Source organism: Homo sapiens, chromosome 5 (assembly GCF_000001405.40).
Source record: "Homo sapiens chromosome 5, GRCh38.p14 Primary Assembly".
NCBI classification, from domain to species: domain Eukaryota; kingdom Metazoa; phylum Chordata; class Mammalia; order Primates; family Hominidae; genus Homo; species Homo sapiens.
This window is the reverse complement of record NC_000005.10, coordinates 43,015,690-43,031,234: the sequence shown is the minus strand read 5'-3', so window position 1 is coordinate 43,031,234 and position 15,545 is coordinate 43,015,690. Positions and strand designations below refer to the sequence as shown.

The 15,545-nt window shown below is 42.7% G+C and overlaps 2 long non-coding RNA genes across 13 annotated transcripts in view, besides 4 other annotated features; one reads left to right on the top strand and one right to left on the bottom strand.

Moving 5' to 3' along the window:
- ANXA2R-OT1 (ANXA2R overlapping transcript 1) overlaps positions 1 to 15,545 on the top strand; it is a 52,711-nt gene that overhangs the window by 36,205 nt on the left and 961 nt on the right. Inside the window, exons 1-2 of one of the 5 annotated variants that reach the window (NR_104649.1) lie at positions 12,424 to 14,161; positions 14,758 to 14,873. The exons of 1 other annotated variant lie outside the window; for it this stretch is intronic. This is a non-coding gene — a long non-coding RNA (ANXA2R overlapping transcript 1). Of the gene's footprint in view, positions 1 to 11,591; positions 11,700 to 12,423; positions 15,188 to 15,545 lie in introns of those variants that run through there. 3 more of the 5 variants (NR_104650.1, NR_034086.1, NR_034085.1) reach the window with 3 other exon arrangements.
- On the bottom strand, positions 3,539 to 13,090 carry LOC105374748 (uncharacterized). 8 transcript variants are annotated; one of them, NR_188278.1, is made up of 4 exons: positions 12,563 to 13,090; positions 11,919 to 11,999; positions 7,126 to 7,316; positions 3,539 to 7,036 (listed from the first exon to the last, which is right to left on the bottom strand). It is a non-coding gene; the product is annotated as an uncharacterized LOC105374748 (long non-coding RNA). The 8 variants fall into 8 exon arrangements; NR_188275.1 differs by having other exon boundaries at positions 7,138 to 7,316; NR_188279.1 differs by lacking the exon at positions 7,126 to 7,316.
- Positions 10,805 to 10,854: an enhancer, noted in NCBI's record as "active region_22523". NCBI's record gives its function as "activates an Ori minimal core promoter by ATAC-STARR-seq in GM12878 lymphoblastoid cells {active_cell/tissue: GM12878}" and the evidence as "EXISTENCE:reporter gene assay evidence [ECO:0000049][PMID:35858748]".
- Positions 12,601 to 13,123: an enhancer, noted in NCBI's record as "H3K4me1 hESC enhancer chr5:43018214-43018736 (GRCh37/hg19 assembly coordinates)". NCBI's record gives its function as "activates a minimal SCP1, AML or CMV promoter by ChIP-STARR-seq in naive H9 embryonic stem cells {active_cell/tissue: H9 hESC(naive)}" and the evidence as "EXISTENCE:reporter gene assay evidence [ECO:0000049][PMID:30033119]".
- Positions 12,922 to 13,061: an enhancer, noted in NCBI's record as "active region_22522". NCBI's record gives its function as "activates an Ori minimal core promoter by ATAC-STARR-seq in GM12878 lymphoblastoid cells {active_cell/tissue: GM12878}" and the evidence as "EXISTENCE:reporter gene assay evidence [ECO:0000049][PMID:35858748]".
- Positions 13,522 to 13,761: an enhancer, noted in NCBI's record as "active region_22521". NCBI's record gives its function as "activates an Ori minimal core promoter by ATAC-STARR-seq in GM12878 lymphoblastoid cells {active_cell/tissue: GM12878}" and the evidence as "EXISTENCE:reporter gene assay evidence [ECO:0000049][PMID:35858748]".

Genomic DNA, 15,545 nt, shown 5'->3' with positions numbered 1-15,545 from the left:
AGAGTAGCTAGAAATACAAGTTTGTGCCCCCATACCTGGCTCATTTTTTTTACTGTTGTTTTTGTAAAGATAGGGTCTCACCATGTTGCCCAGGCTGGTCATTGCCCAGTTCTTAATGTGGTCGTTCACTCTCCCAGTACTGTCTTCTACTGCTGAATTGCTAAATTTAAAGTATTGCAGAATTTGTTTGTATGTGTGCAATAATATACAATGGAGCTGACAGGGCACACAATCCCCTGGGCTCAGGGTTGGTGGCCTCTGGAGTCCTGGTGCCTAGTCTGTTGAATCCCAGGCCTGATGCACCCCAGAGGAAAGTCCTGCCCCTGCTGCACCCCAGGAGGAAAGTGCTGCTTCATGGCATCCATCTCACAATTGGTGACAGAGTATCTGGAACTTAGAAATCTCCAGCATTTGTGTTTCTATACTCTTCTGCTCTCTTGGGTGGTTCTAACCAGATAACAAGAAACTGGATGATAACTTCAGTCTTAGAAGCAAATTTCCTTAGGAGATAGAATTAATGATACTAACATAAAATCCTACCGTCTGGGGTGAAATTATCTAGATTAGGACAGATTGGTTTTGCAGATGAAAGGAAAAAGTACTACCATGTCTGTGGAGGAAAAGCTGTTTTTATGGTGCCTGGCTTTAGAAAGTTCATTATTGCCCCCAAATCACATTGCTAGTCCTAGAGCAGAGACTAGAATCCTTTCTACCAGGAGAAAAGCTTGGGGTTAATGTATAAAGCAGATATGGGGTGTTACTGAGGAGCTGGGTAAGCATAGTTGCCCAATTGTTAATGTGGTCTTTCACTCTCCCAGTTTTGTCTTCTGCTGAATTGCTGTATTAAAAAGATTTTGGCCAGGTGCAGTGGCTCAGAGCTGTAATCCCAGCACTTTATGAGGTGAGGCAGGCGGATCACTTAAGCCCAGGAGTTTAAGACTATCCTGGGTAACATGGCGAAAAAAATACAACAATCAACTGGGCAAGGTGGTGCATGCCTATAGTCCCAGCTACTTGAAAGACTGAGCCGGAGAGCCACCTGAGCTTGGGAAGTTGAGGCTGCAGTGAGCCGAGATTCAGCTTACTGTACTCTAGCCTGAGCAGCGGAGTGAGACCCTGTCTCAAAAAACAAAAAGAAAAAAGATTTAGGCTGGGCACGGTGGCTCACGTCTGTAATCTCAGCACTTTTGGAGGCCAAGGAGGGAGGATCACCTGAGGTTAGGAGTTCGAGACCAGCCTGAGCAACATGGAGAAACCCCGTCTTTACTAAAAATACAAAATTAGCTGGGCATGGTGGCACATGCCTGTAATCCCAGCTACTCGGGAGGCTGAGGCAGGAGAATTGCTTGAACCTGGGAGGCCGAGGTTGCGGTGAGCTGAGATCACCACATTGCACTCCAGCCTGGGCAACAAGAGCAAAATGCCATCTAAAAAAAGAAAGAAAGAAAAAAGATTTCAACACTTCTGCTTGTGTGTAATAGCAAGAAGTTTCAGGCCCCACTGGCTCGGTTACAGAGAGGTTACATGCCATTCTAGATGTGTGAACCTCTGTAAGTTATCCAACCCGGTAGCCTTTATTTTAACCACCTCAGAAATGGAAGCCAAATGTGCTTTCATTTTACAAAGTAACTATCAGGGATACTTTTGATGGAAAAAGTTAATGTTTGGACAGTATCTGGTTGAAAGTAATTAGGTCAGTTTTTAACAATATTATCGTTGATTTTATCATAAACTGAAAGATATTCTTAATCAGAACGAATGTAAAATGAATCCTTCTTTGTTGTATTCTTGCTGTGGATTTTTTTTCCTTCTCATATCCTCTGTGAAACTGGAATTTGTCTGAGTTAAACATGCTATTTGGAAAGCATCAATGGATACAATTATAGAATTACCTAATTAAACATTATTGTTTACTATGGTAAAATCTGATTGATCCCAACATTTAGCAAGCATGTTTTGATATCCTTCTGTGTTCCAGGGGCTATAAAGGGAGCCACAAATACAAAGATGAGGAGTTGGCTGCAGTTTTCACAACTCTTACTAATGAGAGAATAAAGACTCTGTCAGGAGATCATTCAGAACACAGCTAACTCTGTGTTTATTCCAGGAGCTGATTTGAAGACCAGAAAGAAAAGGTCTGAATTGAAGCTTCCCTTCAAAGCCATGCTTCTTTTTACTAGAAAAAAGGAAAATATGCAACTATACAACAGGAAGTGAAAAAAATGAAACAGAATGAGAATGACAGAATAGATACAGAAGGCAGAAGATTGAAAGCTCTTGTTAGGTGAAAGGTTTATGGACTCTAGGTGTCTGGAGAATGAATCCTGAGAGCAGGAGCAACTCCTACATGCCAGTATTACTCGAGAAGTACCAGTGGTGATCCCAGAAAACTAGCTTTAGCATTTTTTTTTTTTTTTTTTTGAGACGGAGTCTCCCTCTGTTGCCCAGGCTGGAGTGCAGTGGCGCGATCGTGGCTCACTGCAAGCTCCGCCTCCCGGGTTCATGCCATTCTCCTGCCTTAGCCTCCCAAGTAGCTGGGACTACAGGCACCCGCCACTACACCCGGCTAATTTTCTGTATTTTTAGTAGAGACGGGGTTTCACCGTGTTAGCCAGGATGGTCTCGATCTCCTGACCTCGTGATCCGCCTGCCTCGGCCTCCCAAAGTGCTGGGATTACAGGCGTGAGCCACCGCGGCCGGCCTCTTTAGCATTTCTTTGAGTATGTAGCCTGGATGTGTCTCTCCAGATGTGAACAGTGGATGGAACCTTGCATTGTAGAGAGTTGGCAGTGCTCTGCATGGGTATAACACACAGAGTAGTGACCATTCCCAAAGGAGACCCATGTCACACAGGCAGAGACCTGCTGTCCAGACTCTTATGCAGACATACTTCTCCCTCCAACATGTGCAAAGGAATGTACTATTTCTTTTCAACTTCCCCAGACAAAAACTGTTAAGGCAGGTGATACTTTCTCAGGGAATGTTGATTTACACATACTGCAATTATAATATTATCTGAAAAAAAAGAAATCTGCAAGTGATCTGAGGGTAAATGCTGCAGCTGCAAGCCCCACTTGCAAGTATTCTCAGGACAAATGGGAAATGGGTTAAATGACTGCGTATAGTATTTTGCTTTTACATGTTATTTATATTATGTTACATCCTCCAAGAATTAGCGTGTCATAACTTAGAGAATAAAGAACTCAGCTGATATAGGGGTCAACTAATCTGATAAACTTAGGAAGAAAATGTAGAAATATACCATCAAGCGTTATCAGTTACAGCTTTCTTACAAATGCCTTTGCTACATCTTTGGCCAACCTGATAATTTATGGAGTCAATATCATATACGTGGGCACTGTATCATCAGTAGTTTAACAATTCAATCAAAACTAAATCAAAACTTCCACCTTTATCTAATCATGTATCATTTTTGCCTAGAGGCCAGCAGGCCATCTTGGGCAGAAGACTACAAGATTTTTTTAGTCTAGATACCTCCCATTTAGTTCACTGAAAGCCATTAATTGCTTTCTCTTTGTCCATGGCTGTAACAAACGTTTATTTTTATTTTGGAGGCAAGGTTTCACTCTGTAGCTCAGGCTAGAATGCAGTGGTATCATCACAGCTCACTTCAGCCTTGAACTCCTGGGCTCAAACAATTATGTTGCCTCAGCCTCCTGTGTGGCTGGGACTACAAGCAGACACCAACACATCCAGCTAATTTTTTTTTTTTTTTTTTTTTTACTAGAGATGGTATTTTACTATGTTGCCTGGGCTAGTTTTGAGTTTTTGGCCTCAAGTGATCCTCCTGCCTCAGCCTCCCATAGTGCTGGGATTACAGGCATGAGCCACTATGCCCGGCCCATAATAAAGTTTTCTAGTCTTAGAATCTTTGTACTTTATATTCTCTCATGATGGTAACTCCACCTTTTTTTTTTTTTTTTTGAGACAGGGTCTTGCTCTGTTGCCCAGGCTGGAGTACAGTGGTGTGTTCTCAGCTCACTGCAAGCTCTGCCTCCCGGGTTCAAATGATTCTCTCGCCTCAGCCTACTGAGTAACTTGAGATTACAGGTGTGGGCCACCACGCCCAGCAAATTTTCTTATATTTTTAGTAGAGATGGCATTTCACCATGTTCGCCAGGATGGTCTTGAACTCCTTGCCTCAAGTGATCCGCCTGCCTTGGCCTCCCAAAGTGCTAGGAGTACAAGTGCGAGCCACTGCACCCAGCCTAGGTTGGTTTGTTTGTTTTTTGGTGTTGTTCATTGCATTACTCATATCGAAGTGGAAGTATCTGTGACAATTCTATCCTTACTATAGTAGCTAATATAATATCCTCCTAGTTACCTTTTCAACTAAGTTGCGTTAAGTTTCTTGATAACATTTATCATATAAACACGGTTTTATTTATTTATTTGTTGTCATGCTTTTTTTTTTTTTTTACAATCCATGAAGGTGTCAAACACTTTATGGCCAAGTCCATGTCTGCTTGTTGATTACTTATCTCTGGGACCTTGTTCACTATGTAGTACAATATAGACACTTGGTATTTGTTAATGAAGACATGATAAATGTATTAAAATCTTGGGTGTGGTGGCTTATGCCTGTAATCCCAGCACTTTGGGAGGCTGAGGTGGGAGGATTGCTTGAGCCCAAGAGTTTGAGATCAGCCTGGGCAGCAGAGGGAGACTCTATCTCTACAAAATTTTTAAAATTCTCTGAGTGTATGGTGCGTGCCTGTAGCCTCAGCTACTTGGTAGGCTTAGGTGGGAGGATTGCTTGAGTCTAGGAGATTAAGGCTGAAGTGAGCAGTGATTATGCCACCACACTGCAGTATAGGTGACAGATTGAGACCCTGTCTCAAAAAGCAAACATCAACAACAACAACAACAAAAAGGGTAGTCTCAGAGCTCTATAACTGATTATAAACCACTCTACGAAAGGATCTAAGTAAAACAATAATTGTAGATGACAAAAGTCTTACAATAGCCATGGTTTAAGACACAACTGACAAAGAAATGTGGTTATATCTATGATATATAACATTTGAATATAATAATCATAATTAGTTCTGAAAACATATACTAAGACATATCACAATCAGAAGAATCTCATACAATTTTAAAACACTAATAACACATTTACATAAATACAATGCAAAGATGGTTACATATCATTTTATATTTGATAATACTTCTTGTGTGATTATACCAACTAAGCCAAATATGTCTCTTTGGATTTCAGGGGACTCAATGTCAAAAAAACTAATGAGATGAAAATGACTGAATTTAGAATTGGATTTTGGAAAGTTTGTCAAACATCAAAGACTTAAAACACTTGATATCACAAAACAGGATCACAGGTTATCGGGGGACCTGCGCCGATAATCACGTAGGTTCTTTTCTATTTTCCTAAGCGTCGACTGGCTTGAGAAATAAAAGAACAGAGTACAAAAGAGAGAAATTTTAAAGCTGGGCGTCCGGGGGAGACATCACACATTGGTAGGATCTGTGATGCCCCACAAGCCACCGAAACCAGCAGGTTTTTTTAGGGATTTTCAAAAGGGGAGGGAGTGTGCGAATAGGTGTGGGTGACAGACATCAAGTACTTAACAGGGTAATAGAATATCACAAGGCAAGTGGAGGCAGGGCGAGATCACAGGACCACAGGACCGAAACGAAATTAAAATTGCTAATGAAGTTTTGGCACCATTGTCACTGATATTATCTTATCAGGAGACAGGGTTTTGAGATCAACTGGTCTGACCAAAGTTTATTAGGCGGGAATTTCCTCTTCCTAATAAGCCTGGGAGCGCTATGGGAAACTGGAGTTTATTTCACCTCTGCAATCTCGACCATAAGAGACAGGTACGCCCCGGGGCGGCCAGTTCAGAGACCTACCCCTAGGTGCGCATTCTCTTTCTCAGGGACGGAATTCAGCGATATTTCTCCCATTTGCTTTTGAAAGAAGAGAAATATGGCTCTGTTCTGCCCGGCTCACCGGCGGTCAGAGTTTAAGGTTATCTCTCTTATTCCCTGAACAATTGCTGTTACCCTGTTCTTTTTTCAGGGTGCCCACATTTCATATTGCTCAAACACACATGCTGTACAATTTGTGTACTTAACGCAATTATTACAGGGTCCTGAGATGATATACATCCTCCTCAACTGACAAGATTAAGAGATTAAAGTAAAGACAGGCATAGGAAATCACAAGGGTATTGATTGGGGAAGTGATAAGTGTCCATGAAATCTTTACAATTTATGTTTAGAGATTGCAGTAAAGACAGGCATAAGAAATTACAAAAGTATTAATTTGGGGAGCTAATAAATGTCCATAAAATCTTCATAATCCACGTTCTTCTTTCATGGCTTCAGCCGGTCCCTCCGTTTGGGGTCCCTGACTTCCCACAACAGGTCATTGTAAAAAATAAGTCATTCATTTAGTTAAGCAGTAACTCAAAGTTTTCAAAAACTAAAAGCCAAAACCTTTCACTCTTTGAGACTTGCTTTCCCAAACAATAAGAGCTAATAAAGACAGCATGAAGCCAATCAAATCTTTCTCAGATATTATAGACAAATCTAATAAATTTTAATCATCTTGACCATAAGATACAACTTTTGTAAACCTTTTCATAATCTTTCATAATTTTTTTAATAAGAATGGGTTAATGATCCATGAAAACATTGTTAATCTTACATGGGGTCCCACATGCTGGTCTTGCATCAGTGTTCCTTAGATATTCACGTTTACTTTATAGGCTGGCTGTGGTGGCTCGCACCTGTAAACTCAGCACTTTGGGCGGTCTAGGCAGGCAGACTGCTTGAGCTCAGGAGTTTGAGACCAGCCTGGGCAACATGGCGAAACACGGTGTCTACAAAAAATACAAAAATTAGCCATGCGTGTTGGTGCACATCTATAGTCCCAGCTTCTTAGGAGGCTGAGGTGGTAGGATCACTTGAGCCTGGGAGGTGGAGGTTGCAGTGAGCTAGGACTATGCCACTGTACTCCAGCCTGGGTGACAGATCTAGACCTTATCTGGAAAAAAAAAAAAAACTCTTTAAATTAAATTATCTATAAATTATACAGAAACTGAACTAATTTTATCTGTTAAAATAGGTCCTTACAAGCTTACACACCCACTTCTTCTTCAATAGTCCCTGGGACTAGAGGGTTTGAATAGTCTTAATTTCTGGCGCCATGTCTCATGACTGCAGCTTATTCTGATTTTCATCTTCTCCTAGATCTGAAGATGAGGCTTCAATTGCTCTCAATTTAGCGGGAGTTAGTGACCTTTTTAGACTCAGGAGTCAAAGCCCTGAAAATTAGTAGCACAAGAACTTTAAAAGAAATACAGAAAGTTACATGGATATAATAACCTTAATTAACCTTAATTTTTTTAAATCTCAGTTTTCTTTTCTTTTTCTTTTCTTTTTTTTTGAGACAGAGTCGCACACTGTCACCCAGGCTGGTATGCAGTGGCTCGATCTTGGCTTACTGCAACCTTCGCCTCCCAGGTTCAAGTGATTCTCTTGCCTCAGCCTCCCTAGTAGCTAGGATTACAGGCACCCGCCACCACTTCTGGCTAATTTTTTGTATTTTTAGTAGAGCTGGGTTTCACTGTGTTGGCCAGGCTGGTCTTGAACTCCTGACCTCGTGATATGCCTGCCTCAGCCTCCTTAAATCTCAGTTTTTCTGAGCAAATAAAAACCTAGTAATGACATAGGAATTATTTTGATAAAATGTAAAATATGTTATTCTCAGGCTGGCTACCAAAAGGCAAAAAAGGATGTGCTTTTCCATATGGGATTCCATTTAGACAACCTTCAAGTCAAAACTAATGAAAAGGGCACTTGAATTAATTAGACATAGGAAGAGTGTGTCCCAGGACATAAGTGAAGTTTTTTGGTTTCATAGAACAATTTAGATATATTTTAAAAAGTCAAGAGCACAGAATGTTATATTGGAAGAATACATTTCGTTTTGATCCTAAAGATGAAGTGTTTTTTAGCATCAGACCACAACAACAGTTAAAACCTAAGGAAAAAAGTTACAGGAGCTGACAAAAAAGTTGAAGGGAAAGTTATTATCTCAGGCCTTAAAAAGGAGAGAGGCCTGGCGCAGTGGCTCAAGCCTGTAATCCCGGCACTTTGGGAGGCTGAGGCGGGCAGATCACGAAGTTAAGAGATGGAGACCACCCTGACCAACATGGTGAAACGCCATCTTTACTAAAAATACAAAAATTAGCTGGGCGTGGTGGTGTGCACCTGTAGTCCCAGCTACTTGGGAGGCTGAGGCAGGAGAATCGCTTGAACCTGGGAGGTGGAGGTTGCAGTGAGCCTAGATCTCACCACTGCACTCCAGCATGGTGACAGAGCAAGACTCCGTCTTAAAAAAAAGACAGAAAATAATAATAATAATAATAAATAAATAATAGAGAGAAAGCTGAAAACATTGAGATGCAATAAAAGTTGAAAATTTGGGTAAATTAAAATATAACTTATTAAGAGTAAATAATATTTTACAAAAATGTTGTTCTAACCAAGTCTTTTGAGTATTAATGTATTTTTTTGTATCAAAGCCCAATCTCTAGAAAGACTGTTGTAATTTCCTTTTATTTATAGCCAACTAGATAACATAATTTTTTTTTTTTTTGAGATGGAGTCTTGCTCTGTTGCCCAGGCTGGAGTGCAGTGGTGCGATATCAGCTCACTGCAAGCTCCACCTCCCAGGTTCACGCCATTCTCCTGCCTCAGCCTCCCAAGTAGCTGGGACTACAGGTGCCCACTACCACGCCCTGCTAATTTTTGTGTTTTTAGTAGAGACGGGGTTTCACCATGTTAGCTAGAATGGTCTCGATCTCCTGATCTCGTGATCCATCTTCTTGGCCTCCCAAAGTGCTGGGATTACAGGCGTGAGCCACTGTGCCTGGCCTAATTTTTGTATTTTTGTCAGAGACGGGGTTTCACCATATTGGCCAGACTGGTCTTGAACTCCTGATCTCAAATGATCTGCCCCCCTTAGCATCCCAAAATGCTGGGATTACAGACCACCACACCTGGCCTATCTCTCTCTCTTTTTTCTGGTTTCTTTTATCTTGTTTCACAAATAATCTGTGAATTAGACAAAACTATTTTCCTTTTAATAAGAACACTTTTTTTGGAAAAATGTTTTCCTACAATTTTTTAAAAATTGGACATGACCTGGACATTTAATGACTATTATTTAATTTAACTTTAAGATTCTAAATTGTATGTTTACTTATAAGCATTTATTCCATTACATTTACCTAACTAATTTATTTTTTAAAATAGTTTACCTAGATTACTTATAAAATCTGTGATATTAGACATAGCTAGCTATCATTTAAAGTCATGAAACCAGCTTTGCAAAATTTTAACAGTGAGAAAATATTGACAGTGACAGAGACCTGACCTAACGAACTCCATCTTGCCTTTAACCTCCAAACAGCCCTTGATCTGGGCATGGGCCAACCTAACTTAGGGAGAAATTTAGTTTATAGTTTATATGATAATAGCCCTTCCCAAAACTAAACCATCTTTGTAAAGCTGATGAAAGCCCACCAGGTTAGGAGGATGAGAAGGGCCTGATTTCTGCTAAGATGTGGGCATAGTTAAAGGATTACCAGCCTTTATTCCAGAGGTCACAAGATTTGCAACTTCCCTAATTACTAGAACCTAGGTTTGGCTTTTTGAGATGACTTTTCAGACTTTGATGGCCCCAACAGCATCAGCCACTCCTCTGTGGCCGCCACTCAAGAAATGGACTGAGTGCAGGAGGACTGTTTTCCACACCCCTGTGATTGTTCCTCAGCTGAGCAGCAGCACCCTTCTGCCAAACTATCCTTGAAAAACCTTGGCTTCTGAATTTTCTGGGAGGCTGATTTGAGTAATAATAAAATTCAGGTCTCCAATTTAGCCAACTCTGCCCATATTAAACTCTTTATTGCAATTCGCTGTCTTGACAAATCAACTCTATCTGGGCAACAGGCAAAATGAACATATGGGCCAGTTACAGTTATGTCCCTGTCAACCATTATTATAGACTGTGAATATCAGGTGTTTACCTAAGTAAGAACCTTAAGGTTAAATAAATGGATTTTTCTCTTCTGTCAGTAACCCAAGATTTAGCTGTTTTCTTTAAACCAATGATATTAAATGCCTTATTTACCAAAATTACATGAACAAAGATAATTCTGTTTGGGGTTGCATTTATAGATTTATAACCTTCATGCCAAATTTTCACGCCTTATAATATCTAGCAGAGATAAATCAGAAACCGCTGACCAATAAATCTAAACAATAATGTATATTGACAATTCTGAAGACATTTCTAATTTTATTTTACTGATAATTTTAAATGCAGCTTATTTGTCAAAGATTTACTTAAATCAAGTGAACCTGAAAAATCATTTGGGCTTAAAGTTTCTATTTTTCTGATAAAGTATTTAATTGAAGCCACTAACAAGGGCTGGAAAGCAGTCCCAAATTACAGCTGTCCAATGAGTACTCTCCCAGTACTGGATAAAAAGGGAGAGGCCACCGCCCACAACCTTCTGAACCCAGAGCAGGTGGAGGCTGGGGCTTTGGCGCCACCTCTGCGGAATCCCAAGCCCCCTTCGCACAGCCAAGAAAACGTTGCTCCATCGCTTAAGCCTTAGAGCAGGACACAAGCGTTTGTGCTGATCAACGAGGCAGAGCCTTCAGCACTCCCATTAGCCTGGACATTTATGCTTTCCGGAGGCCGTGGGCGGAGGCAAGCCAGGTATTATGAAACTCAATAGTAATGAATGCACAAAAATTAGTAGTCAAAAGAAAAACGATAACATTTTAGAGATTACATAGAACCAAAACAAACTGTAATTCCGACAGATAAACATAGCAAGAAAAGAAACCGAAATAAAACAGACACTAAGCAAACCTTGCAGAGAACTAGCTTTACAGATCGCAGCGCTTCAAGGGCCACGAACCATCTGTTCCAGGAAATGAGCATTACTGCCACCTGAAAACTGTCCGCTAGGGCTCTGAGCTACTTAACGACCGAAAGAGAAACTGGCGGCGCTGGGACTCAGCAAGCGCCGGCACCTAGCGAATAGTGCTGGTGTTGCCAAAAAATACCTGTTTTGGTGCCATAAGTGGTGCTGCCAGAGAGAAACCGTGCTCTTGGGAAACAGCGGTGCTTCCACGCCTAAACATCCTCTTCGGAGGAATGAACCCACTCCGTTTAAATGTGTTGTGTCAGAAAAATGTGTTGAGACATTTTAATGTTTTAATCCTCTTAATGTGTTTAATCCGCTTGCAGTATTTTAACCCGTTTTAATGTGTTGTGACAGAAAAAGCGCCAGCTAACGGTGCTATGAAATTACTAGTGCGTACAGCGGCTCCGTGCAATCACCGTTCTGCACAGTAAAACATGGTTTAGGAAGTTCTTTAGCAGATACTAGCGGTGCGAGAACCAAGAAAGTGACAGCACAGAGAACATAAGGACCTGGCGAATGGGAAACGTCACACTGGGCGCTAAGAACGGTGCCGTAACTGAGAAAACGCTAGTCGGCTCTACTGGCAAAAGCGCTGATGCAAAACCATCAGCTCCGCATACGAAGGAGAGCCACCAGACACAACCTGGCACCTGACAGCAGGGAGACTGAGACCGAGCTCGGCTCCCCGGATCCTGAGAGAATGTAAGTAAAGAAGCAGGAAGCTGAGACGCTCAAAATTAGTAGAAAAAAAATACATAACATTTAAATAAAATCAAAATTAAAAAAATAAAGGCTAAAATGCAAGTAAACATGGAAAGCAAACACATCGGTAACATCGTTCTCAGAGCAAAAGACAAAGAGAGAATTTAAAAATAAGCAAAAATTACAGAGAACCAATCCTAGAAAGAAGAAATTACAAACCTTGCTAAAAGATGCAATCCTACAATTGTGATATCTCTGTCAGATCTAAACCGGTACATGTTACACCTAAGTCTACATTTCCTACGAAAACAAAAACAAAAACAAACAACACCAACAAAAAAAAGCAGTCACGGTTAAACCTTTTTTACTACGACTTAAAAATCGCAGTAGCTGGTCTATTCAGACTTGGTCCACAAGAGGAAAAAGTCGCGTTCGGCAGGACTTGCTATTGCCAAACGGAGCTTGGTAACCAGAAATCGCGTTTGCGGACATTTCCTGACTTCCATGGGAGTTTAAAATACACACAAGCTTAGCTAAGGTGGGACTCAATATTGCGAAAACAAACTTGGTATAAGAGCTCCCAGGCACTGCTAAACTGATCATCGGTAAACCTAAAAAAAATCGCATTCGCGGGTACCCAGATTTCTTTTTCTTTTCTTTTTTTTTTTTTTTTTTTTTTTGAGTTGGAGTCTCGCTCTGTCGCCCAAGCTGGAGTGCAGTGGCGCGATCTCGGCTCACTGCAAGCTCCGCCTCCCGGATTCACGCCATTCTCCTGCCTCAGCCTCCCGAGGAGCTGGGACTACAGGGACCCGCCACCACGCCCGGCTAATTTTTTTGTATTTTTAGTAGAGACGGGGTTTCACCGTGTTAGCCAGGATGGTCTCGATCTCCTGACCTCCTGATCCGCCCGCCTCGGCCTCCCAAAGTGCTGGGATTACAGGCGTGAGCCACCGCGCCCGGCCGGTACTCCGAAGCCCTCAGATCGGCGACCTGGGCGCTGTAGGCACCGAGAAAATACAGGCACCGAGCCAGAAGCAGTGCCGCAACCAAGAGACCTCGGCTTGGCGAAATGGCGGCGTCTGGAGCCTGCGAGTGACGCCAGCTGGTGGGGCTGTCAAGGAGAACATTCGTTACGGCGCAACCAACGGTACTGTCACCAAGAAACCGTCGTCTCTGAGAAAAAAAGAGACGTTCGGCCGCCGAGAAACTCCGTACAAGTGCTGTGACAGAAAAACCGCCGGCTCCGCGCAGCGGCAAAAGAGCCAACGGGAACGCCGGGTGCTGCGACCATGACCCCGGCACTGGAGGACGTGGGATGGAGAATGGGACACACGGAGCGAGAAGGGAAACGTTTCGTGCAGACCAACTAGCGCCGCCGCCACCGGAAAACTGACTCGCCAGTGCTGCCAATGAAGTGCGTGTGAGAAACCGATGACTGGTGGGAGGAGCAGCGCTGGGCGCTGGACCCGCGAGTGTGAGAATCTGGCGGCGCTAGGACCCTTCAGGCGCGGGCACGAGGCGAAACCCAGCGCTGTTGCCAAAGACAAATGCGCGTTCTTTTGGGCGCCATCAGCGGTGCAGCCAGTGATCACTCCCAGGCTCTGAGAAACTAGAGATGTCAGCCACAAACCCTCCGTTCAGGGAAAGTTTGCGGCGCCGTGACGGATCGACTGGCACTGGGTGCAACATTGTCTTGTGGCCTAGAGACTAGAATATAAAAACAAAAACCAAATACAAAACTGCTGCTGGCATTACTCCTACTCTCCCCCCTCAAGTCAGTGGCTTCAGGCTTAAGAAAACCTGTATTTTTCTTGGCTGTGCCATAATCCGTAATTACCGAGGCCCCCAGCGACCCACCCAGTGTGATTCGCAGAGGGAAAGGAGCTGGAATAAGGACCGTGAATGGGGCGGATGTGGCTCGTCCTGGGAGAGAGCTAAAGCTTATGCTGGTCGCAAACAGCATTACATTGCAGGAAACTGCTCTTCCAATGGCCGTGGCTGGGTCCTTCCACACCATCCCTCTGCCCTAGACCTTTGTCCCCGTTCAGAGCCATCAGAGATTCTAGGAGAGCTGTCGACAACCGCATCTCTTCGGAACTTGGAAACTCTAGGTTCAAGATCTCCGTGGAGAATGAAAGGCACAGTCGCCTGACCCGGGCATCAGGCTTGCCCCGCACATCAAGTCCCTCCCCTACTGGATGGAACTCTGTGGCAATCGCTCCTTATTCTGATGGTTCACTCTGTCAGATATCCTCGATATTTGGGGATAGTAGTTCAAAAACAGCCGGGGAGGAAAATGGGCTGAAAGATTCCAGCGTTGGATGTAGAATTGACAGCGAGACATACACCTCCTCTCTAAGCCCAGAGAAAAGCTCAAGTTGTGGTTCTCTGTCTCTAGCAGCATGATCTTCAAAATGCATCATTGATTTCTATCTTCTGGGAAATGCAATGCAGGTGAACTTGTAAGTGCTCAAATCCTCCATCTCCTCACTTTTCAGACTGAGGCCTTTTTTTTTTTAAATCTGAGAAGAAATATGGGACTGCCACTGCTCAGTAGGAAAATGTCCTTTCCCACAAGCATTTATATTTTAATAAAAATCTGCACTTTGTGAGTTGAGCCCCCTCAAAGAGACCTACAAACCCTGCCACAAATATCTCCAACCACACTCATCATTTCCGATTTTCATCACTGCTGCTCCTGTGCAAACCAAACTATCCTTTCCCTGGGGCATCCTAGGTAGAGGCCATGCCAGGACAAAGGCAGAGATATGCCTGCCTGGTAAGGAAATCCATTTTGGCCTTGTAATTCTCACCCTCTCCCAAGATGTTTGCCTCAATATCTCCTTCCCACCTTACCCCGTCTTCAGCTAGCCAAAACATTCCCTGGTATTTGAGGCCCTTCCAATTTCCTCCTGGTTTTGTGGGTGGGAGAATAAAGAAAAAACTGCACTGTTCCCACCCACATAGTTACAGCCACTTTATCAAACGGAAGAGCAGTCTGGAGCCATTGCAAAACAAAATACCTGCCACAACTCCTCTCTTCTCATTTCGACTCCAGCTTTTCATCTTAGCAAAAAAGTTGCAATCAGCACCCCCTAGACGGAAGGAATATCCTGTCTTAATGGGAGTCCATAGGAGGCTGCAGGCTGCTCCCCTACAGAGACTAACATCAAGGTAGTTGCAGAATTCAGATTCTAATTACAGTGTGGTTGGAGGCGGGGTGGATTCCAGGGAGGTCAGGAAGAGGTAAAGTACAGAATTGAGCTCCTTGGGAGGAGGTCATAGGAACTTTGCAGTATGAAAATGGCTAGAGATTGGGTAGAATTGAGCAGGCTGGCAATGGCAGTTTTGTGTGGGTGGTAGGACCTAGGATTCAAACTTGAGGGCAAATTGTGGAGCACATACGACAAATGATGTAGAGCCTTTCCTATTTCCCTTCCTGCTGTGTCATCCGAAACAATAAATAATAAAGAATTAACAAAGACTGATATTTTTGTTCAATTTCATGAAGAAAAATCTCATCAAACTAAGATAACTATAATGACAAATCTTGTTAGAATATTATTAACCAAATGAAAGTGACACAAAACAGAAAAACGGTGGGAGGTGGGAGGGCCAAGAAAGAAAAAGTCCCCAACACTCAGGTGGTGTGTACAGGTGAATCTTCTGGTCAGTTGGTATGTTGCAGAAAGCTGGGCAACTAATAAATTAGGAGGCAGGAATTCATATGAATACTTTCCTGATACAGAGAAACTCTTGGTTTTAACAATCTACTTCTTTGTCAGGTATTGGTTCTTGATTTTAGGCTCAGAAAAGATGGTAACAGTTATAACTGTAGTAGAGCAG